The sequence below is a fragment of the Homo sapiens genome, chromosome 2 (assembly GCF_000001405.40).
Source record: "Homo sapiens chromosome 2, GRCh38.p14 Primary Assembly".
NCBI lineage: Eukaryota > Metazoa > Chordata > Mammalia > Primates > Hominidae > Homo > Homo sapiens.
In genome coordinates, this window is record NC_000002.12 from 176,120,088 (window position 1) to 176,144,428 (window position 24,341).

The 24,341-nt window shown below is 50.8% G+C and overlaps 2 protein-coding genes and 3 long non-coding RNA genes across 7 annotated transcripts; 3 read left to right on the forward strand and 2 right to left on the reverse strand.

Moving 5' to 3' along the window:
• HOXD9 (homeobox D9) lies at positions 2,632 to 4,850 on the forward strand. Its single transcript, NM_014213.4, has 2 exons — positions 2,632 to 3,498; positions 3,847 to 4,850. Exons 1-2 carry the CDS (start codon positions 2,682 to 2,684, stop codon positions 4,086 to 4,088), a joined length of 1,059 nt encoding a protein of 352 aa, NP_055028.3. The 5' UTR covers positions 2,632 to 2,681; the 3' UTR covers positions 4,089 to 4,850.
• Positions 7,738 to 10,441, reverse strand: LOC100129455 (uncharacterized). The gene has a single exon (NR_187615.1). It is a non-coding gene; the product is annotated as an uncharacterized LOC100129455 (long non-coding RNA).
• On the forward strand, positions 9,618 to 12,608 carry HOXD8 (homeobox D8). 3 transcript variants are annotated; one of them, NM_001199747.2, is made up of 3 exons: positions 9,618 to 9,687; positions 10,709 to 10,856; positions 11,230 to 12,608. In NM_001199747.2, exons 2-3 carry the CDS (start codon positions 10,832 to 10,834, stop codon positions 11,523 to 11,525), a joined length of 321 nt encoding a protein of 106 aa, NP_001186676.1. In that variant the 5' UTR covers positions 9,618 to 9,687; positions 10,709 to 10,831; the 3' UTR covers positions 11,526 to 12,608. The 3 variants fall into 3 exon arrangements, with proteins under 3 accessions (NP_001186676.1, NP_062458.1, NP_001186675.1); NM_019558.4 differs by having other exon boundaries at positions 9,618 to 10,856; NM_001199746.2 differs by having other exon boundaries at positions 9,618 to 10,856; positions 11,233 to 12,608.
• A 2,145-nt stretch (positions 12,609 to 14,753) lies between these two features.
• Positions 14,754 to 17,011, reverse strand: HOXD-AS2 (HOXD cluster antisense RNA 2). The gene is made up of 3 exons (NR_038435.1): positions 16,534 to 17,011; positions 15,232 to 15,335; positions 14,754 to 14,863 (listed from the first exon to the last, which is right to left on the reverse strand). It is a non-coding gene; the product is annotated as an HOXD cluster antisense RNA 2 (long non-coding RNA).
• On the forward strand, positions 16,525 to 20,304 carry LOC401021 (uncharacterized). The gene is made up of 2 exons (NR_148241.1): positions 16,525 to 16,912; positions 18,910 to 20,304. It is a non-coding gene; the product is annotated as an uncharacterized LOC401021 (long non-coding RNA).
• The last annotated feature ends 4,037 nt before the right edge of the window (positions 20,305 to 24,341 follow it).

Below are 24,341 nucleotides of genomic sequence, written 5' to 3' on the forward strand. Positions count from 1 at the left end.
GGAGGAGGCCTAGGGTGTTGGATTTTGGCAGTGGTTGGGGGAGAGGAATTATAAGCTAGCTTGAGAGTGAAGTTTTCATAATTGGGAGGAAGGGGAGTCTCCTCTTTCCTTTCCCAGTCCCCAGTGATAGTAACATAATTGCGCTCTCAATGGGTGTGAGCTTTCCTCTGGCCTGAACCTGGTAAGTAAGCCTATACCCCAAGCCACTTTCTCCTCAAAGCTTCCCATTTGTGTGTTTTCTCCTCTTTGGTTTTGGTTGTGTTGTTTTTAATGCTTTCAGTGGCATCTTGGTGATTTCTGGCTGGCGAGCAATCATCAGGGGCTAGGTTGAAGCTAGTCTTGCCCACCTGGAAGTTGCCGGCCTCCATTACAGGAGCAAGGACAAACAGCAGTGTAGCACTGCAGCGGATCCAATTCTGCCCCCTTTCCCTCAGCCCTACCCCCATCCCAAGCGCAAGACAGCCAGACCCCAGAGAAGCCGAGGATGGGTGAGTTTTCCCATCCCACTTCGCCTTGATCTCCTTGTGGACGGGTTTTATGCTCAGTCATTACCTTTTAGTGGCCCACATGAAATTTTGTTAAAGGAAGAAATGAAAAGATTTTCCCCAGTCAGTCTTTCCTCTATTTAATTACAAAATGCTGGTGGGAACTGCTGCATCTGGGATGCAAGAAAATGCAGAAAGGGTGACTGAAAATTTTGCAAATGAACATGACTTCCCATGAAGTCTAATGTTCCATTCGCTGCCATGGTCCAGGGGACTCCCACCAGCTTCCACCGGCTTCAACAGGATCTCCACTAGAGAGCCCAGACTTATCTAGTCCTGTCGGGGAAAAGGGAGAAGAGGCCTTGCAGGAGAAAGCTAACAGAAAATTCGTTACCTGAGGTCCTGCCTGCAGTTTCAAATAGCTTCCAGCAGTTTTACAAAACACATCCTTTCCATTTCTTCCTTTTAAATGTTTCCCTAAGAACGATCCATTTAGGTGCTATAAGTCCTCAGCCAGGGAGTCTCTGGGACACTGGCATTCAAAATTTTAAACTTCCGCCCCAAAACCAGGAACATTCCAAGACAGAACTCTTTTAGGGGGCCATTTCCTGGGGGTGGGGGAGAGGGCTTGGAATCAATGCTAGATTGAAAACGTTGTAATAGCTTTGCCCCAGACTTAACACCGGTTGGGCAGGAGGAGGGTAATTTTTATTTAGCCGTTTCTCCGATCATGTGGGGAATACCATTAGCTGTTGATAGCGGGCCATGTATCCGAGGAAAGCCTGAGCTACAAGGCAAAGGCATCCCATCTGGAACAAAATCAGAAAGCTATTGGCAAAGGTAATCAATCAGGCCATAAATAGCCATTTACCCGCTTCCTTTTCGGGGCTGGAGGTGGGCCGGGAGCCCTCCAAGGGTGAGCTGGGCAACTTGTAGAGCAAGGAATATGCCCTCCGCTGCCGGCGCCCCGGCCGCTTTTGTCTGGGCTCCCAGCCGGGCTTCCGAGGCTTTGTACCATGGATTTGGGAGTGACAATGGGCATTTCCCTCAGATTCAAGGCTGCTCAACCTCACCTCTGTAGGGGGAAAAAAATCAGAAGGGAGTGTCCCAAGGACCTAGCCATTCGGCCGAATTTTTTAGACATTTTGGGAGTCTCCTCCGAGGCCTTTAAGTGCGAACCGCGCGAAGCGGCCCTGCCCGGGGAGACTCGCTGAGGCAGGGCTGAGGCGGCGGGCGGGAGCAAGCTGCTCTAGCATTTGGGTTCTGCCCTGTGGCGTGTTCTCTTCCAGGGCCTTTCCAGCATCATCGGAGAAGACGAAGCACCCTGGCCGCCACTGTCCGTGCTGCGCCAACTCGCCCGGCCGCCCGCCCTTCCGAGGGCAGGCAGAAGCCCCTCTGTGTCCTCCACCGCCGCGCCCCGGCTCGCCCCTCGGGCCGCGGCGTGTGCCCAGCCTCACGTCGGGGTGTGTGTGGCCGCGCGGGCGTGTGTGAGTGTGGCAGGGGGAGGGGGCCCTCCGATCTGCTCCATCCGTCCGTTTTATTAGGGACACATTAATCTATAATCAAATACACCTCATAAAATTTTTATTGAAAGGCATAATATCATTACAGAGGTCTTCCACCTGTTTTAAACAACACGACAAGCTGTGAGCAAGCGTGTGTGTGGGGATGTGTGGGGAGGGGTGGGTGTGAGTAGGGAGAGAGGCGAGGGGAGAACAGCTCCCCTCGGGCGCTAGGGGCCGCCCCGAGGGCCCGCCTGCCTCGGGCGACACCGGCCTGGCGCCCCCGCGGCCGCTCCGTGTGCCCTGGACTCGCCGCCCGCGGCTCGGAAGCTGGAGAGTCAGCGACGGGGCCCGACTGCGGGACCGAGGGCTGCAAGAAGAAGCGAACAAATAGTCCCCAGCGCCTCCTCTGGATGCGGTCGCGTCTGTGGTCCTGGCAGCCGCTGGGCGGGCCAGGCCAGGTCGGGCCGGGCCGAGCCGGGCACATGGACCTGGGCCTGCGGGCTCTAATTGCGGCGCTTATGTTGATGATTTTTTTTTTAATCACAGCAGCCCCCAGTTTAGCGGACTGATTTACTCCCGGTATTGGTAAATATGATCACGTGGGCCGCGCGACCAATGGTGGAGGCTGCAGCCTGCGAACTAGTCGGTGGCTCGGGCGCCGGCGGGGAGCTGCTCGGCGGCGGACAGTGTAATGTTGGGTGGGAGTGCGGGACGCCTCAAAATGTCTTCCAGTGGCACCCTCAGCAACTACTACGTGGACTCGCTTATAGGCCATGAGGGCGACGAGGTGTTCGCGGCGCGCTTCGGGCCGCCGGGGCCAGGCGCGCAGGGCCGGCCTGCAGGTGTGGCTGATGGCCCGGCCGCCACCGCCGCCGAGTTCGCCTCGTGTAGTTTTGCCCCCAGATCGGCCGTGTTCTCTGCCTCGTGGTCCGCGGTGCCCTCCCAGCCCCCGGCAGCGGCGGCGATGAGCGGCCTCTACCACCCGTACGTTCCCCCGCCGCCCCTGGCCGCCTCTGCCTCCGAGCCCGGCCGCTACGTGCGCTCCTGGATGGAGCCGCTGCCCGGCTTCCCGGGCGGTGCGGGCGGTGGCGGTGGTGGTGGAGGCGGCGGTCCGGGCCGCGGTCCCAGCCCTGGCCCCAGCGGCCCAGCCAACGGGCGCCACTACGGGATTAAGCCTGAAACCCGAGCGGCCCCGGCCCCCGCCACGGCCGCCTCCACCACCTCCTCCTCCTCCACTTCCTTATCCTCCTCCTCCAAACGGACTGAGTGCTCCGTGGCCCGGGAGTCCCAGGGGAGCAGCGGCCCCGAGTTCTCGTGCAACTCGTTCCTGCAGGAGAAGGCGGCAGCGGCGACGGGGGGAACCGGGCCTGGGGCAGGGATCGGGGCCGCGACTGGGACGGGCGGCTCGTCGGAGCCCTCAGCTTGCAGCGACCACCCGATCCCAGGCTGTTCGCTGAAGGAGGAGGAGAAGCAGCATTCGCAGCCGCAGCAGCAGCAACTTGACCCAAGTAAGTGCAAAAGAAATTGCCCCCTGATTTATTGCTGAAACCTGTAAGGCTCGAATGTGCAAAACTGATAGTTTTACTAACCTATAAAAACGTCTAGACGCCTACCCAAGCCTAGGCGAACAACATGCATCCATAAAAAGAGCTTCCCATAACCACCTACCCTGGGCGCTCAGTTAGTACGGTAAACAGAGCGCGAGCATTAAGGCTTTTTATGATAATTCCCCACAAGTTGTGAAAAGCGACCATCCTTGGTGAAATTAATTTAACGACCTCTCTTCCCCACCCTGTGGTCTCTCCCTGCCTCCCCTCCTCTCCTCTCTCCCCGTCTCCAAACCTCCCTCTTTGTAGACAACCCCGCCGCGAACTGGATCCACGCTCGCTCCACCCGGAAAAAGCGCTGTCCCTACACCAAATACCAGACGCTTGAGCTGGAGAAAGAATTCCTCTTCAACATGTACCTCACCCGGGACCGGCGCTACGAGGTGGCCAGGATTCTCAACCTAACAGAGAGACAGGTCAAAATCTGGTTTCAGAACCGTAGGATGAAAATGAAAAAGATGAGCAAGGAGAAATGCCCCAAAGGAGACTGACCCGGCGCGGTGCTGGCGGGAGCGCTCAAGGGCAGCGGATTTGTTGTTGTTGCTGTTTTCCTTTGTGGGTGTTTGGTGCTTGATTTCCAGAAACTCTCCAGCGACTTGGACTTCTTCTTCTTTTTTTTTTTCTTTTTAGATAGAAGTGACTGTGTGGTTGGTCTCTGAGGTATTTGGGGGACTCTGTATTTGCTCGTTTACGTGTTGGAAAAACCAAGTGGCTTTGGGGTTTCGCCCTATCCCACTCCCTCTCTTTCCTGCTCCATTGGTTCCTTAAGAAATGCTATATTTTGTGAGTGCAAGCTGGCTTGGGGAGCCCTCTCTTGTGTAAATGTCCCCCATGTTTCTGAAAAGTGCTGTAGTTTAGTCCCCTCACCCCCAGCACTGCCCAAACAGGGGCCAAGTGCGCCCCAATTCCAAGAATGAAGGCAGAGCGACAACAGTGCGGACACCCCGGCTGCTAGCCCACGGTGAAGCCCGGCGGGGTTGCCCACCAGTTGCGAAAGCCCCCTTTCCTCAGGGAGCACGCGGGACCTCGGTGGAGATCTCCAGTGAGGCTTAGAGGAGCCCAGGGCCTCGGGCGGGTTGGGGTTTGTCCTCAGTGCATTGGACGCGCTGCTCTCTCCCCTGAAGGCTGGGCTCGCGTGGGCGGCCGCGGGTGGTGGCCCTCCCGGTTCCTGCCCGAGGACCAGTTGTAAATGTTACTGCTTCCTACTAATAAATGCTGACCTGATCAAATGGAGCCCAGACGCTGGCCCTAAACATTGTGTGCCTGCTTTCTCTGCCTCTCTGCAAAATATCACACTCAGGATATTTCTCCTCTACCCCTGGGAGTGAGACATTGTTAAAAATTCAGGGCCCTTCCACCTGACAGATCTCTCTGATGTGTCTCTGCCTTCTCTGCCTCACATCCCTTTGTGTAGGCAGATGCAGCAGCACAGACCCTGTGGGGGGACATTGGTGCCTCCCCAAGCCTGGTTCAAGGTCCTCCACGAACTCTGTGCTTGGGCCCAGTGTTAGCCTTGCAGAAGCGCCCAGAAGAGCCAGCAGGCCCCAGAAGCCAGGCACTTTCAGGCTGGGGCTTGGGTACACAGCACCCTAACCTTCCCTGGGCTCCTGAAGCCCCAGATGCCAAACCCCTCTCCAAACAAGGGAAAGGCCAACTCTACACTCTGGAGCAACTGTCCCAGCTCGGTGGGGCTAGCTGGCTCCGGGAGGTCCCAGCTGGTCAGGCTGTGAGCTTCTGCTCCTCCCCACCAAAGCCCCAAAGTGACCTTAGCGATCAAAATGGTCAAGGCTCTCCTCCCCAGCCACCTCCATTTCACCGCCCCCTTCCCCCCACCCAGCTTCTGTGTATGTTTAGCCCCCAGCTTGGCCCTCTGAGGGCTGCATTCAGGGGCTAAAATGAAGGTCATTGTAAGTGAGGGTTTGGGTGAGCACAGCATTTGCAGGCCAAAGAGGCAGCACTGCCAAGTGGCCTGAGCTGGGTGGAAGGTGGGGGCGGTGGCAGAGATCTTGGGGGATCCCAATGAAAGAGGGGACGCGAAGAAAAAGCATAGGGGGGCTGGGAGGGAAAGCCAAGGAAGGCCCAGATCCGGCAGAAGGTGCTGCGCACCCCTGCCACTGTGGCCAGCTGGGTACCTAGGGCTCTTTGAAAACAGGAAGAGCCGAGGTGTCATAAAGCCATCTAGCGGGCCAGACGTCTGGAGGTAATGAGTTTACGACAGGCCCAGTGCTTTGCTTTGAAACCATCTCATTTTGATGTTTGTGTTTGTGGGAGAAAAGGAAAAATGCAGACAAAACTGGGTCTTAAAATCTAGACAATAAAATATAAACAAGACTGCGTTGGACCAAGAAGGCAGGGGCATGGGAGCCCCCAGGTGAGGTGTGAGCACCTAGGAAGTAAACATGAAAGAGGTAGGAAGGAAGAGGTGAATGAATTTCTGATTTTTGAAATGAACCAGGTAATGGAAGTAGCCTAAGGAGATGGCATTTTACAATATTTTGACTATGACCACGGTTTAGCTGGTTCTTTAGAAACAAACAAACAAAAAAATTGGCCTGTTATCTGGGGATAGGGTGGTTAGTGATCTTAGGTCATTTACCCAGGTGAGAGTCTCCCAGAAGTGTGGTTCGCGGGAAAAGATGAAGTTAGATGCCTATTCACAAGAATCTCTGGCCCTCCACTCCAAACTTTGAAGCAAAATGTTGTTGAAATTTATGTCTATTCACTTATAAAAAAATACAATTGTTACACCTAAACTGGAGGAAAGCAGTTTTGAAGATGAGTAAAAAGATTAACCTAACAGGAAACACTTAAGCCAATTGAATAGTCATTGCTTTTAAAAAAAATTCTAGTGGAATGCTTAGTTCAATGACTTTTGATATATATTTTTAAAATCCCATTTATTGTCCATAGAAATTCCAACAAACAGAAGCGCAAAGGGACTTTCCAGACAGCCACTCAGAGATCCAGCAAAAAGCTTTTGATTTGGCTTCGATTCCCCCCAAAATCGGCCACCTAAGTGGGCCCCAAAGCATTAAAGTTACAGTGTTAAAGTAGCAAATATTCATGATTTAATCCTAAAAGTAACAGCTGTAAGAGAAAAACAAAAACATAACAATACTTGATTTCTGTAATTTCTTGGTTGCCAAAGTGTCTGGTTCCTCTGGAAAATAAAAAGCCTCTTGGCAGTTGATATTTAGAAAGTTGTAGGTTTTGTTAAATCTAGCCTGTCCTATAATTGTTTTAAAAGGCACAGCTGGGCGGTTACAGCATGGGGACTTTTGGTGTCTGGCAAAAGAAGGGCTGGAAGCTTTTGGAAAAGACACTACTGGAAGCTGTTGGGAGCACTGATTAGAATATCCTAGGCATACAGGAGCTCCTGCTTGCTGCTCTTGACTTGTTGACAGTCACAGGAATGAAGCATTATTAGTGTCAGCAGTCCAAGCCCCAAATTGAAGAACGAGATTAGAATTGGTTTGAGATGAATAAAAATTAAATTCAGTGGACTGGAGGTGGCATTTGGCCACTAGAGAGCGCTGTTGCTCCACTTTCTGATCTCGTAAAGCTGGAATTGCGGCGGAGAAAGGTTTTGATTAAAAATATTAACAATCTTATTTTTAATCCGAAATTAGGATAATTTTAACCAAAAATAAACAAGGTGTACTATTAATTTCTGTGTTTGCTGGGCATAAAATTTTGGCTCGATCATGGCTTCAGAAACTTTGGACTGTGGCACAGCTGAAACTATAAAACATGATAAATTAATGTATTATATCAAAACAGAAAGCTGTAAAAAGCATAGATCTTTTCTTACTAAGTTAATCGCGCTCTTTTTCTACTCATATTATAAACGGAATGCTTAAATAAATGTTAAAAACTGTTTTGTCCCAAGAGGAAATGTTGTAACGTTTTCTAAATTTGGCCTGAATGTCTATAAATGAATTTTCTAGTGTTCATTTTTCTTTTATTCCCCCGAGGAATCACACAGTTCTACAAGATGCCTGGTATTGTTGAGATCCAGGCTCTTTCATTTTCCCCCCCCCCATTCCATTCCAAAATCCACTCATTTATCCAGGGTTCAAACACACACACACACACACACACACACACACACACACGCCAAACTGAAAAAAAGGGGCACAATTACAAAGGTAGCTCCAAGGCTTTATTGACAATAATAATCTTTTAATTGGGCATTTGCAAGATTGAAGGACAAATCCTTAATTGTCAGAATCAATTCGTTCGCCTTCGGATTTAAAGAAAGTCATTATACTTGGCAATAACCAGCAGAAAAAAAACCCCACAAAAACAAACAGCAACAACAACAAAAAAACCCTTGCTCTCCACCACCCCAAGTCTGCACTCCTTACTAATTTAAAAATTAAATAAAGCATGCCTCTGTCATCTCCAGATTCATTAACGATTCCTTTACCTTTCAGTCATTCCCAGTAGAAATAATTGAGTCGGACATTATCACCTTGCTATGTCTGTCCATCTCGATCTCATTTTCTCCATTTGTAAAAATGATATTTCAGTCCACCCGGACACAAGTCAGGATCGCGCTCGCAGGCTGGGCCAACCCACAAGGAGCTAGGGGTAGCTGAAATCGCTCGCCAGCCTGCAGCATCTCTGAGGCCGTCTGGGGTTTTCGGAAATTTGCATTTGGTGTGGAAAGCCGGCGTGGTGCGTTTAGCTTGAGCAGGGGCGCCTTGGAGGTCTATTTCCAAGGCTGTGGGCCTGGCGCCCTCACGACATTGTACCTATCCCGAAGGAAACGGGGCTCAGTCACCCAAAGAGCCCACGAGAAAGGCCGAGCAGGAGAGGGGAAAACACACACACACAACAGAGAACCATTGCATTTATTGGACATTGAAACGGGAGCAGAGAGGGAAAGGAAGTGTGTGGGGAGGCGGTTGGTAGGGTAAAGCCAGACAGCTTTGGAGAGAGCTGCTAAAATCGGGAATATTTTGTCGATTCACACTCGACTGGGCCACATGACTCGGGCAACTTTTCTTCATCTCTGCTCACAAACTAGGCTGAGCCTTCTCTTTCTCTGCTTTGGGAAAAATTCGTAACTTTGAGGCCTGCGCGCTCTCTCGGCAGTAATTTCACAGGCTTGGCGGAGGAAGTAGGATCGTTAGCATAAGATGGGCCGCCTGCAGCTGCCTGGAACCGGCGCGATCTGAACGCCGGCTGGGAGGCTCCTGGGGGGAACTTGCGGTCGTCTGCCCTCCGCACTCCTCCGGGAACCGCAGCCGGCCCTGGTTCGCTGCGCGCCGGGGCTGAGACCCGGGAGCCGCGTCCTGCCCGAGGAAATGTCACCCTCCCCAGCGCGAGCCCTTTTTCCCGCCTCAGAACGTTTCTGTCCGCTCTTCTATTTACTCTCTCAGCAAGCCTAATGCCCCCTCCTGCATTCTTCAGCCTCCCCCTGCGCCCAGGGCTGACGTCTATCAAGGGTGAAATGATGGAAACTATATTCATGGGCATGATTTCCATTAAATATCAATTAACCTGAGAGCCTCGGCCAGGCTTGCGGTGCGTCAAGGGTAAATGTACATCTCATTTCCACAGGGCCCGCTCGGCTGGAAAAGAAAGGCTTTGATTTGCTTTGATAACGCCAGGATCTGGGGCCACACTCGCGGCTTTTAATTAAACCACTTCGATATGCCCCAACTCAAATGCACGGTCCGGTCCGTCAACACCTCTTGTCCACGTTCCCTGGGCTGCACCCGCGTGTCCAGAGCTGCAAAAGCCACGGGCAACCTCTGCTTTTGCAGCCAGGGGCTCGGGGAGGCAGTCATTTGCTCCGCAGCCTCCTGGGAGTGGCCTCCTTGGCTCCCCCAAGTCTAAGGCTCCGCCGCGGCCCCTCCCTGCCGGCTGCGATCCGCATTCCCGCGGCCCCGGGGCACACGGAGCCCTTGGCAGTGCGTCTTTATGGGCCCCCTTTAAGGCCGGCGGAGGCATCTCGGGCCGGGCGCGGCGCTCCGTCCGTCGGCCGTAGCGACTGAACTGCGCGCGGATCCCTCCGCGGGGCTCCTCGTCCCCGTCACGCTGACTTTCCGTGCAGTGCTGTGGTGCGAAAATGCCTCGCCGGTGCGCACCGGGTCGGCAGCCTCGGCGGCGGGGGCGAGATTGGCGGGAGGGGGGCGCGGGGGGGGCGCGGTAAGAGGTGGCGGCGGGCAGAGGGTGTTTTTTTTCTTTTCCCTCCAGAGCCGGGGTTTGTAAACCGAGGCCAGAGTGTCCCCGTGGGCCGAGCGCACTTTTTTCTTGTCCGGGTGCGCTCAGTCACTGGTGCCTGAGAGGAAACAGTGGAGGCAGCGGGGCAGGTCGCCTGGGGCGTCGGCGATTATATTGCGGCCGAGCCGGGGCGCGCCGGGAAAGGCCGGGAGGGCGGCGGCGCGCGGGGGCTGGGCGAGGCCCCGCGACCCGCGAGGGAGGCGGCGCGAAGCCGAGGCGGCGGGCGCAAGAGCCGGGCATGAGCGCCCAGTAGCTGAGCGCCCGCGGCTGCCTGGCCTCAGAAGCGACGCGCGAGCGCGGGCGGGCGGCAGCAGCGACGTAGCCCGGCGGTCCCGGCGGCGAGAGCAGCCGCCCCACAGGCCCCCGCGGCAGTGCGGCCGAGTCGAGGCTCGCTCTCTGGCTGCTTAGCGCCGCCCGCCCGCCCGGGGCCGCCGCCGCTGACGCCCCAATGAGTTCGTACTTCGTGAACCCGCTGTACTCCAAGTACAAGGCGGCGGCTGCGGCGGCGGCGGCGGCGGGCGAGGCCATCAATCCCACTTACTACGACTGTCACTTCGCGCCCGAGGTCGGCGGCCGTCACGCCGCCGCCGCAGCAGCCCTGCAGCTCTATGGCAACAGCGCCGCCGGCTTCCCGCACGCGCCCCCGCAGGCGCACGCGCACCCGCACCCGTCCCCGCCGCCCTCCGGGACTGGGTGCGGCGGTAGGGAAGGCCGGGGCCAGGAGTACTTCCACCCCGGCGGGGGCAGCCCGGCCGCTGCCTACCAGGCCGCCCCCCCTCCTCCTCCGCATCCTCCGCCTCCGCCGCCACCTCCCCCCTGCGGCGGGATTGCCTGTCACGGGGAGCCCGCGAAGTTTTACGGATACGATAACTTACAGAGACAGCCGATTTTTACGACCCAGCAAGAGGCCGAGCTGGTACAATATCCTGACTGTAAATCGTCCAGTGGTAATATTGGCGAGGACCCAGACCACTTAAATCAGAGCTCGTCTCCTTCTCAAATGTTTCCGTGGATGAGACCACAAGGTTGGGATGCATTTTTTTTTTAAGAAGGGAGAGGGGGAGAAATCTGCTTTCATCTCACGTTCTGGCTTTAAAACTCCCGTTCCCTCTCCCCCTCCTTTTCCTTCTTGTGTAGCCACAGTGGCTCTTATTCATAAAGTAATACAGACTTTTTTTAAAAAAGTAGGAACCATGTAAAGATGATGGGGACAGAATAATTGTGAAGACCTCTCTGCTCCTCTTGCCTGCACACCCTATATATATATATCGGAGCTAAAGAGCTCTGTGTATATTTCACCCCGTAGACCCCCGTTCCACAAACCTCCAGCAACATGCAGAGGTACCATAACATTTTTAAAACTTTTATTCCCCCCCCCTTTTTTTTTGTTTTAATCAGCAGCTCCTGGTAGACGAAGAGGAAGACAAACCTACAGTCGCTTCCAAACTCTAGAGTTGGAAAAGGAATTTCTTTTTAACCCCTATCTGACCAGGAAAAGAAGAATCGAGGTTTCCCACGCCCTAGCCCTCACCGAGAGACAGGTAAAAATCTGGTTCCAGAACAGGAGAATGAAATGGAAAAAGGAAAACAACAAGGACAAATTTCCCGTTTCCCGGCAGGAGGTGAAGGACGGGGAAACGAAAAAGGAAGCCCAAGAGCTGGAGGAAGACAGAGCCGAAGGCCTGACAAATTAACTTCTACCTTTAAAATTTACCACAGACTATTAAAACTAATAATCACCATATGCTGTGGACACCACCTATTTTCTTTGTTGGAAAGGACCTTACCTGTGTTTCAAGCTACCTTCATGTCACTGCTCTTGAGGTTTTCTGTGCTTTGAGAGGGATTTGGGTGTTTAAAAAAGTTTCTAGTATCACATAGAAGCTGTCCTTGAGCTGTCCTATGGAAGGGTAATTTGATACTGACCTTGTAGCTATATTTTTATAATGGTTTTTAATGTCTGAGCTAGTGATTTGCCTCAACAACGTAAACTTCCTAATGATTAGCACTTAATAATTGCATATAAAATGCTTTATTAATTAAACAAGTGCACTTGAACATTTTAATATTTGTGGTGAGTAAATTAAAAGGAGTTTATTAATTAAAAAAAATTATGTCTGCAGAATACTTTATATTATTTGATTACAATGTATTATTTATGGATTTTTTATTCTTTCCTTTATAATGAATAGTTCGGGTGCGTTTTGTTTACTCCTAAAAGGTTTCTTTGCGTATTTTCTAAATGTAATATCTCGGGGAAAATATTAGAAAAGCACGTATTAGCTGAAGAATGTAACTTGTAGTCCAGCTCTGCAGCTTCCTTAAACTTAAGAAAAAGATTGGGCCAGTGACAAGAATTTAAAGACAATGTCCAAGTTGACAATTATTTTTCTATAGTCCATACAAATTAAATAATCTGGCAACTCTGGCAAATCGCCTTGTAAAATGCGTCTCATTTTTTAACTTGCTTTCGTTTTGAACCGCCCTTGTAATCGCCTGAAATCGCTAGTTCTTTATGCGGTGGCTGCCGCTGTGTTCCGTTATTTTCAGTAGGTGTCATATTTATTTGTATTGCCTTTGTTCTGTTCGCCGCTGGTTTTAAACCAGCTTGCTGTGTGCATCTCAGACGTCGGTTGGTACGTCCTCCGCTGTTCTTCAGGAAAGCGATAGCCTCACCTATTTGAAACAAGCCCTGAGAGGAAACGCAGAAAAACCTGAGTGTAAACAACTCCGGAATGTCGCTAGCTCCTTAGTAAATAAATGAATCTCTTTCTGGAGCTAGTGTCTTTGAGCGCCGCAAATACCCCTTTTCCATGAATCACTAACAATCGCCTGGGCTCGCACGAAGGAAAGGACTCGCTCAAGGCTTCTGTTTAATAAGAAAGGGGTGGGGTTACACACATTCCGCGCTGTTTAAAAAAAAAAAAAAAAAGGCCGCAGGGGCCCCTTCTTTTTCAGAGAGGACTGGCTAGTCTATCTTGCTCTAAATAATCTTGCTAAGATGCTCTGAGAGCTTTGATCCTCTTAAAGGACTCAAGTTGTAGGCCCAGTGGGGGACAACGCAAAGTCCATGTTACACCACAGCTTATTGCACTGAGCCGGCGTTGATGCTGGGGTTTGGCATCTGTTATTAACAAGATATCCATTTTCCATTGGAGGCTGCTCCTGCAGCTGCCATTTTACAGGGGAAAGTGGGGGGAAGAGGAGCGGGAGAAAAGAGGAGAAATTCAAGTAAAGTAACATTCCCGAAAAAGGGAAAGCACCTTTGTTAGGTAGTCATCGAAGAGCTCTCTGCTTTCTCTAACCATGTTTATTTTCAAAGGGGTAAATTTTTATTTCCAGAGTTGCTTTTATTACATAGATAAGAAAAATGGAATCCTATAGTTTTGCGCCAGGGTCACCTCATCGGGTTTTATCAGGCTGTTTGCCTGTGGCTTCATGGACACAGAAATGTTGCCACTGGCCAGGTCAGAAGGAAAGCACCACCTGGCTTTCCATGCTGGGAAGAAGTGATGGCTGTGACATTCTCTGACCTGAGCCAGGAAAGATAATTTTAAATCACAGGTGGCCCAGAACTTAAACATTTGCACTCCAAGAGACAGCTGCAAATGCCTATGCTGGATTTGAGAATGTTTTGCTCTGTGCACTGCTTAAGACTCTGCTGTCAGCTGGTACAGAGTAAGGATGCCAAGGGCCAAGAGGCTGGGGAACAGCCTCCAGTGTAAACCATCCAAAGACCAGTGCTGGCTGAAATCCAGCTGCCCTGGATTTAAGGGACTCAGGACTTCTTTATATATTAGCAAAACTGGCTGTCTCCTGCTCAAGGATGCTCACCAGATACTTTTAGAACCCTGAAATAATGTTGGCAAGACTGTCAGGTGGGAGCCCTGTGTATGGGTGGGTACGGAAATCAAGGAAGGAAGAGGAGATAAAATTGTCATTTCTTCAGCATTCTGTGCTGGTCTCAAAGTGTAACTTCTGGCCCCACTGGCCGCCTAAACCATGGTAAATTCATACCTCATGTACAGACAGACTGTTGCAATAGCTGGTATATATTAGATTATGAATTTGTATGTATACATAGCTTACACACACGCCCAGAGTGTTGATTATTCATGTAGGTAAATGTTTCCTTTTGTAGCTGGGAAAGAGCATAGATTTGTGTTCAAATAAAGACCTGGGGGAATTACACATCACACACACTCGCCACCTTCTTTCTTACACTGACTAGACATCCCCACCCCCCATCATGGTGTTTCATGCAGACAGACTGGCAGTGACTTGCGCACAAGATGCCCTTCTAATGGGCTCAAATGTGTCAACATCCAAGCATTGAGGCAACAAGCGAACACTTTTTTGCTGCAGAAATTTGCATAAACCTTCAGAGAATGCTTTGCCATCCCAGGCAGCACTTTTCAGCCCTGAACTGCACCAGTCTGCCTAGTGAGGTCTGTAAACCGTTTAGAGAAAAATGGTTCTCTCCAATGTTAACACTGAATGAAAGAACCAAGCCTTCTGAGTGATTTAGGCTCTCCATTTGCAATGACCAGAAACACACAAAAGAGAATGTGGGTCTCAGTGGTTTTCAGAGAAGTCAGTTCAAGGATGCCATTTTGTGAGGTTCCACAAAGCCCAATATATCGCTTACCTCTGCACAAGGGGAGAAAAATGCAAATATGGCTGCTTTTCAGTGCAAAGTGTCTTTGCGGCCCTCATTCCCCAAGTTGAAAGGGAGGGTCATAAAGCTCTGCTTTTATTTGGGTAAGATGGGGAGAGGATAATGAGGCAAATTGACTATTGAGATTATTTCTCAGAAAATTTTGGAATTAAACAAGTTATTTGCTCAATTCCACATGTATATACCAGTATACTAGTGTGAAGTCTTCTGGGCTTCTGAGGGCCCAAAAACTTGCCCCATCTGCTTGTGTAATTTAAAATATTGTTTTATTCTGTAACACAGAAGGAAGTGCTATTTCACATCCAAGCTTCTTGTGTCCTCTGCTTCCCCCGTGTTTGCTGAATCCTTGGGCATCTAGGGATGGACATGGGAGGAGAGAGAACATTTTAATGGGCCCTGGCTGCTGCTGCGGTTCCCTCCAGCAAAGTTAGGGCCCATTGGCTTTTTTCTAGAAAGAATATGACTTTTGCTGACAGATGGCAGCAAAAGTCCTTTAATCAAAAACATCCAAGGTCATCAGAACTTTTTCAAGGGATAACAAATGGCCTGCTCCAGAGGGTGCTGTGCTGCTTCCTGCTTCAGTCCACATCCACTTAGGCACTTACTGGGTGTGCAGATGTTAATAGCAGAGAACTTATACACAGGTATCTGATGCAAACATTTGTAACATAGTACTGGAAGTGTAAAGACACTGTCTTTAAAAGGATGGGGGGTGGTGTTACCTCTTTCAGGAAGGTTCTGAAGGCTGCATGGCTATGCCCATGAGGGGAATGCTGGAGGCCAGCCAAGGACATTTACTTTCAGGGGGAGTTCACCAGAGCAGTTCCTGTGAAAAATATAAAGGGAATGTGACACCGGCCTTTGAGGAAAAGGAATTATTCTTTTTTCTAGGCTGATCTGAGGAAGTCACTCTTTTCCTGAACAAATGTCTTTTCAGTATTGCGTTGAACAAATTTTTCAATTGGGAAATATTTGGGGGCAAGGGGAGAGGGGAGAACTAGAATTAAACTCCATAAAAATGAGAATTGCTCTTAGAGGAGGACGTAGAGCAAGGAGTTTCAGAAGGGATCCAGAAACCATAACCCTGTCTGTCCAGAAAGATGTTTCTGTGGAGAAAGACCAGGTGGTAGAGTTTCAAACGGGTATTTCGGAGAGGTTGACAAGTACCTAAAACCATTTGAAGCCTTTAAGCTGGTTGGTGATTATCCTACTGCAGAACCTCCCGGGAATGGGAGGGACCCCAATTTATGTTGGAGTGGTGTGTTGGGGGCACATTTTCTTGGCCTGCAGATCCCTCGTTTTCTTCCCAAGGTAACTGGGGCTGGCTTGCAAGATGAGAGGGAGGAGGGGAAACCGAAAGTGGTTGGCTGCCTCTGGGGACAGGCCTTTTCCTGAGGGGAGAGGAGGAGAAGCCAAGTGACTAGCACAGGGTGAGAGATGGGAGGAGGTAGCTGTGGGGATCGCTTCCCCAGAGCGTGAGCAGTACATTGAGTTCATTTCCCTCCTTCACGATGGCCAACTGCGCAGAGGTTTTGAGCCAAACCAAAGAAAAGAACACACACACACACACACACACACACACACACACACACGCACACACACAAATAAATCCTAGAAAAAGAAACAGAGGAGGCGGGGAGGGAGGGAAGAACCACGAAGGGAAGAAAAAGGGAAAGGTGAAGAGGGACAGAGAAAGAGAAGGGAGGAAGGAGAGAGAGAATGGAGAGAGAGAGGAGGAGGAGAAGGAAGAGAGGAGGCGGGGGAGAGAGAAAGCAGAAGAGGAAAAAACATGGCGCTTGCGAGCTGTATGTGCAAAATCCGCAAGGAATTGCAGTAAATTCCTTTTTGTTTGAAGAAAATTTACAACTTGGTAATAGACCTTTTTATGACCTATTTGCGGTCGTCATTGGCTGCGGCTGGTCATGTGCAGGCGCCGCTCGCCTTCACGGCCTTTTTCCTGATTTCCCCGGCGAATTTCCCCCCGCATTCTGCTTTCCCAGAGCCTCACCCCCTCTTTTTCTAACCTTTGTCTCTGCAGAGGTGGGCTCCAGTCACCGGCTGCGGGATTGCGGAGTCCGCCGCGGCCTCGGCTCCCGCCCGGCGCCCGGCCTGGCCCCACCGCCGCTCACTCGGTCCGCATCGCCGCCACCTCCGGAGCTGGTGGGGAGCCCGGCGAGGGAGGGCCTGGAAGGGGCCCTGGGCGCCGAGTCCCCCGCCGGCGCCGACACCGCCTGCCAGGAGCAGCCGGCCTGCTCGAGGTGACTGCAGCCGCGCGGTTCTGGCGCGGCTTCTTCACCAACATGAGCGGGTCTCTGCGTCCGAGAGTGAGCGCAGCCGGGCAGCGCCTAGTGGATTACAGCAGACGCCCGGACCGACCGCCGCCTGTAGCTCGGCAGCCTTCGGGTAAGAATCGCCCCCTCCCCGCTCCCCAGCATGCCACCAAGAAGCCTGGGGCGCCGACCCCCTTGGGCAGCTCAGTCCGGCTGCTCCCCTACATTTCCCGGGGAAGTGGGGGGTCGCTGTCTAAGCCCCTTCCCCCAATCACTTCGTTCCTAGGGCGTCCCCTGGGGCCTGGGGTGGAGTCCGGCTGGGTTCAGAAGTCTAAGGGGGCAGTATTATTTCAAAAATTCTGAGATACGGGTAGCCACAGACAGGATCCCACTGCCTAGATGGAGAGCCCCTCAATCCTACCCTAGGAAAGTGTATAGACGGGTTACTACTGAACATCTCCACTTTGCTGGGGGTCACTAAAGGCATTTTATATAGAGCTGTGGTTTTTGTGGTTTACCTGTGGCCGTGGCCAGAGGTTCCTGGGAGGCTAACAGGTGTTTTTTGAGGGTTGGGGCTTGGGTGGGGGTGGGGTGAATTCTCTGTTTCTAGGATGTGCTTGGTGTTTGAATCTAGGCTTTAGTGACTGATGCTGGTTAATTTCTAGGGTTGATGGTTTATTGGGCCTTGTGTTGTATGAGATGGAATTTTAAATATTTTTAAATGTTTCTCTAGTTCTTAGAGAAATTTTTAAGCAACTCAAGATAGGCTCTTCCCGCATATGATAATCCGTCAGGTGAATTTGGATTCTTTTATATCACAAAATGAATCCATGTTTTGGGAGGTAATGGTATCAGAATATATGGTGCAGGTCTTGGTAAAAACCCAATAGATCTTTGAGAAATACAAGACATCTCTGTGTTGAAACATCGTGTGTTTCTTATTTGCCAGAGTAGGAAAAGAGTAGATCTTTTTGCTCTCTAAATGTATTGATGGGTTGTGTTTTTTTTCCCACCTGCTAATAAATATTACATTGCAACATTCTTCCCTCAACTTCAAAACTGCTGAACTGAAACAATATGCATAAAAGAAAATCCTTTGCAGAAGAAAAAAAGCTATTTTCTCCCACTGATTTTGAATGGCACTTGCGGATGCAGTTCGCAAATCCTATTGCCTATTCCCTCATGAACATTGTGAAATGAAACCTTTGGACAGTCTGCCGCATTGCGCATGAGACTGCCTGCGCAAGGCAAGGGTATGGTTCCCAAAGCACCCAGTGGTAAATCCTAACTTATTATTCCCTTAAAATTCCAATGTAACAACGTGGGCCATAAAAGAGTTTCTGAACAAAACATGTCATCTTTGTGGAAAGGTGTTTTTCGTAATTAATGATGGAATCATGCTCATTTCAAAATGGAGGTCCACGATTTGTGGCCAGCTGATGCCTGCAAATTATCCTGGATCACTAACTCTGATCACTTACAAATAAGAAACTTGAGTGATTGTTATTTTATTTGGAGTGTTTGTATTTTGTAATTATTTCTCTACTACAGTACAATGACCTTTGAGGTCATTCTTTGATCGGGGTAAAAAACATTCCCCATTGAAAAGCAGGCACCTGGATAGTGGCTTCTAGGCCCTGCCAGGTAGATTCGGAGCAGGAAGAGTCCCTAGGTCGGATGGTACCCGGGTGGGTGTGGGGGTGTGGCCCTGATGGCCAAGCTCTATGTTCAGAGCTTCAGTGCTTTTCCCTGGTTCTGTAGCACAGCGCGCTTGAGTGACTAAAAACCTGGGTTGGGTGCAGGTCCGATTACGCAGCAGAGGTTGATGTCATGGGCAGATTTGGAAGACTTGAGGGGTTCTTTGTAAGCCCCGTGGTAGCATTAATTCTTATTGGAACGAAATGGTCGATTGCATCTAAGGGAAATAATCCACAAATCACAGGAACTCTCGGGCCATTAGTCCACAAGAAAACTAGTTCGTGCTGTTGCCACTACCGGAAATAACCCCATTGTTTCTGTTAACCTAACCAAAAAATGAAACGAAATTTTAAAACGCTGGGACCCTGAGAGCTGAGAAGCCCAGAAGTATAACTCCCAGTGTCCTTGGCCCAAACCTCTGTTCTCTCATAGATCAGGGAGCCGATAGCATGTCCGGGCCTTGGTGACGACGGGTCAGGCCATGAACTGGGCTTGAGATCTCTGGCGAGGACCAGGAGAAAGACGAAGCTCGAAATTATAAATGTGGCCAAGCACGAGAGCTGAAAACAAAGCGTATTTTCCCGTCAGATGTTTCTACAAATAAATTTCGCCAGAGTTCTGTTTTCTGAATCAGAGAGGCAAGGGAAATCGAACAAAGACAGTATTTCACCCTGGGCTGGCAGGCAGCTGTTAGAGGTATTTACGGCCTTGCCGCAGTGCGGCGGCCAGGCAGCCGGGTAGGGTATGCGGGGGCACCGGAAGCTGGGGAGAAGCCATGAAGAACTCAGAATTTCAACTTAAATTCAATTTAGGGTCACGTTTTCGGAAATGGCGTGAACAGATGCCCTCTTTCTAGGGACTGGTCCTTTAGACTTGATAGTTTTGCAGAATGAGGGAGAAGTTGTGCTCTCTGGATGTAGGATGGTTTTCCCCGCCTTGAAGAACGACTCAAAGGGAAGCGGTGCCCAAGATGTGACATTTCTGATCCACATAACAACCTTCAGAGTGTTCATTGGCAACGAGGAGATGCTGCTTGTTCGGCGGAATAGGGTTTGCAAATCAGAAAGGACAGTTGAAGCTTTTAATACATGTTTTCCTGAAAAAGAAAAGTGTGTTTCCTGCTTCTTGAGATGAGGTTCCCAAGCTCCTCTGCATCCAGGCGTAGAAGCAGTGCGCGGTACCTTATCCGCACTGCGCGGTGCAAGCCGGCCGCACAGCTCACGGTCCCGCAGCGCCCGCCACACACCCGCGCCAGAGGTCCAGCGCATGTGCAGTGAAATGGCCTAGCCCGGGAATTCGATCGGCAAAGCACGGGTGTGGGGGCGGGGGGGTGGGGGGGGGCGAGTGGACTCGAGCAGGAAGATACACCCGATCTTTCCATTCTCCCTCCGTCAAGGCTCGCTACTCATCTTGCCTTTATCTCAGCCTTCCCTGTATAGCTGAACAGTTCTACCTTTGGCTACATTTCCAATCATTATGACTTATCACCTCACCCCAGTTTAAATCTGTACGCTAGACATAGGCTGAAAATACGAGACGAGGGCCAAAGGAAACACTCTTCTTTCCAGTTTATATATATATATAGCATATATTTGCCCCTCGGGGAAGGCTGTAGATTTTTTTTTTTCAGCCTGCTGCTACTACTTTGGGAAAAGGCCTTTTCTCCTGGCGCCTGTTCAAACCGCCACACTTCAGGCCAATCCTTCGGCCTGACCATTCCCGGATCTTGTTATGCCAGCACAGCACATTCGAGGGCTCTGGGGGGCAGCAGCTCGGCGAAGAGCAGTCAAATAAATAAATAAATAAACAAATAAATGAACGGACATATAAGGGCTTTTCCCGCCTGGGTTCGCTTAAATAATGGGGGACAAGCGCCTCTGGGCCACGAGCTTGTTGTTTGTCCTGGGATGGGGGGTAGGGGATGAGAGGTGGCCTCAGGTCCCTCTTGCTCCTTCCAGCCGCCCCAGGGGACACTGTAGAACCAGCCTCTGGTGCGGGGAGACCTCCGCCTGCCGGAGGAAGTCCCAGCCTCAGGTTTCCGGGGCTGGTGGTCTCCCTGCTCTGCTGTCTGGCGCCTCGTCCAGGAGGAGGCGCTGTAGGACAAGCGTCTCGCCGGCTGCGGCGGGCCGGGGAGGGCGGGAGCGGAGGGATCGGTACCCGCTCCTCCCTTCCCGCGCACTCTACCTCCGCGCGCCAAGTGTGTGGGGCCTCGAACAAGGGTCGACGGTGCTGCGCCCCGTCCCCCAAGGGGTTCCTTTCCCCAGACTGGCAGTGGAAGCAGCTCCGAGGCCTGGGAGCCTAGGGCCGTTCCGGGTTGGCGGGCCACCTCGCTTTCTCCGCGCTCCCGGAGGGGGCGCGATTTCCTCGTGCTGCGCTTGTAGGAGCAGCAACTTGAATCCTGTGTGGGGCAAGCTGGGCCCAATCCGCGGATCCCAACCAGCCCCTCCCGCTGGGCCGTGGGTCTCGTCATTTACCTTGCCCAGGATTCCTGGTACCCAGAATGGACAGCCTTGAAAAGCACATCCTTTAGTGCCTCCTCCAACAGGCTGATGGGCCTTGCCCTTGCTCACTTAGAACAGGACCTGGGTCCTGGGACTCCCTGGAGACTCAGAGCTTGGGTAAATCCCATTTGCTCTGCAGCTCAAGAGAACTAGCCAGATGCGCATGTCTACTCCACACCACCCAACCACTCTTCTATCACCACTTCGCTCATTTCAGGCCTTTTGTGGGCTCCACTGGGCACTCCTCGCACCAGGTTCAAGAGCCAGCGACACCTTACTTAAATAATGCTCTGACCCAATCCCACTGATCCTCCGTTATCTCTTGGCAATGCAGTCTTTTGTCCCCCTCTCCCCACCGCCTTCTCTAGGGTAATGATTCTCAGTGAAGACCTGCATCAAATCTCTTGTTTATAATGCAGGTTTCTGGGTCCTATCCCAGACCTACTGAATCAGAATATCCAGATATGGTACCCAGAGACCTGCATTTTGTAAACACTCCTCCGCCCAGGGCACTTGGGCTGCATACTTATGTTTGAGAACCACTGGTCAATTATCTCTCCTGCTCCTTTTATGATCCTTTGTTCTCCAAAGATCAAGTTCCCTCTAACCCTACAACTAAGCATCCCCCAGAGCTCTTAGGGTTCCATCCAGGGTTGTGGTTTTTAAGGTCACCACCCTATAGACTGAATACTTACATTTTAGGGAAGAGGCCGTGGATCCCTTAACTTTTGGCTTACAGATTTCAAAGACAGCAGGTTGTGGGTTCAGACTGCCATGGTACCACTTACCTATTGCGTGACCTTAGGCGAGTACTGCAACTCTCTAGACCTGTTAATTTCTTTGAAAAGGAGGGATAAGAGTACCTTCAAGGGTTGCTATGAGAATTTTTACTTACTTGCAATTCTATATGTCAGGCACTATTCTAACTGCTTTATGTACCTTTAACTCACTGGTTAAGTACTTAAACCAGTGTTTTGCCACATACCAAGTATTCAATACATACATGTTTCTTATTATCCCCCTTTTGCTGAGTAATCAGGCCTAGACTTTTAGAGCAAAAGACCCCTGGTTCACTCACCAAATTTTTGAATTCTATGGAGGAGAAGACAGGCTTGAACACACAGGAAGTAGCAGACTCAGGAGAACATAGTTCCGTGACTTAACCTATTGCTGTTGTGGGCCACATAGTCCTGGCCCATTGGGTCTCAGTGTCTGGCACCTAAATGTATCAGGGTTACACCAGGCAGAAAGTGGCCCTAACTCCTCAGTGGGCAGGTATCAGGTAGGGGAGGCCTCACATTCACACAGGCACATCTTCGACTCCCACAGATGGCTTCAGGTCTTTCCTGAGAGCAGGCCCATTTATCCAGCTCCTGCAATCACCTTCTCCATCACCACCCTGTCCTGTCAGTCACACCCACTGGGCTGGTTGTTCCTCTTGTTATTCTATAGCCCCAGGGCAAGGACCCTCCTTAGTCTTTTAAAATCTAGGGCAGGGTAGGAAAGCAAAAGACCAACAACAGCCAAGGAAGCCGAGGAGCCCCACCTCCACTCCCCCCAACCCTTCTCACCCCTTTAACTGCTTGTGCCCCAGGATCTGGGTTCCAGGGCAGCAGCTGAGCCTCTGCCCCCAACATGTGTGGGGGTTGTAGCCAGAAAGGGTATTTTTATAACTCTTCATAAAAGATGTACGGAATTTAAAAGAATTGGAAGGGTCAATGGAGAATTGAGGGATAAGTCCTCACCCTTAGTTCTGGGTCCATGACTTCTGGCTACAGACTTTTTTCATGAGAGACTTAGTAGCTCTTGGCCAAGCTGCTTTGCTTGGCTTAACCAGGAAGTCCTCCTGGGTCAGATTTTCCCTCAAAACGTACAGTTTCTTCTGCTACCAACCTTGTCAGGCAGTGTTCTGCCTACAGCCTAGGGCAGCACCTCCTGTTCCAACAAATCTTGGTTCTCCTAGTACTTAGGTAGCCACCTTAGCCTCTTCTGCCCTTCTTGGGACCACTGGAGCCTTATTTCTAGCCTCCGCTCTGCTCTCAAACATCTTGCTCCAAGCCCCCTCCCCTTTTGTTTTGGTCTCTTCTCTCACTATTGGCCTTTTTGTCTGGGGTCACCTCTGCCTCCCTGGGTCCTCAAGCCAGAGCTCCAATGAGTGACTCCACTGGGGCAGAGGGAAGTGGGCAGGGAGAGAAATGTTTCTGTTTTGGTGATAGAGTATAGTGCCAGGAATATAGAGTTATGTTTCTCTCATGCTGGGGACTCCCTGTTCAGTCCTTCTCTGGCTATACCCCCAGACTACGTCCTTAAGTACCAGCCCTGGGCAGTCTTCTTTCTCCACCTGCCCCGGCCAGGTATTCAAAGCCCCACCTATCTCTTCTGGTTGTACAAACATTTAGTTTAAGAGGAAAGCTCCACCCCCCTTTAGGCAAAAGGCCTCTTAAGAGCCAAAATGAGAATATTCTTTCCTGGAGCCACCTAGCAGGGGCCCTTAGGGTGGGCAGAGGGCTGACTTTCATTACTTTTGGAGTAGAGCTGCTTCCTCCCGGGACCCCTTCACTCTCTCCTCCTTCCTGCGAGCTACTTTGGCTCCCAGGGTTTGGAGGAGCCCTACAAGGTGCCCTATCTCATGGGAGCTTCCTAGGCTCTTTTTAGCCACATGGGGAAGGACAGTACCTACAGTCCCACTTTACCTATAAATTAATTCCTTCTAGGTTTTTAAGAAGGCTCAACTTGTCTTTCCCCACTGCCTCTTCCATTATCACCACAACCATTGCAAGTTCTTGGGAAACTCCCCAACAAACTGGCACATGCTAGCTCTGCTCTTTCCACCACTCAGCTTCTCTCCCCCATTTCACCCTTTCTTTCATCTACAGAAGACCAGGAGGAGGGGAGGAGAAAAGGAATAGGGGAAGGAGGAGACAAAAGAAGATTATGAGAAGGTGGACCCTTACTCTCTCTTTAATCACTTTGCCTCGCTTTCCTAAGATCAGGACATAAATGATGTCTGCCTCAATATATTCCTTTCGTCTCTCCTTTTCTTTACTCACAGCTACTTTTCCGTTATTGTCTAAATATACAGAGTAGGCTATGTAATTTTATCTTTTTGTGTAGGCCACAATAAAGGTTGCAAGCATGTCTCAGTCACCATGCTTCATCACCGTTTGTTCAAAGAATGTCTACCTAGCCCTAACTGGGTACCCATCACTGTTTCAAACACTATTTCTCCTCAGTCTTATCTTCTCGTTACCCCATTCTCATAAAAAGCTCATCACAATTGCCTGGAAACTAATATGTACTATGATTAATTTCTTTCTTTCTTGGTTTTTTTTTTTTTTTTTTTTTGAGACAGATCCTAGCTCT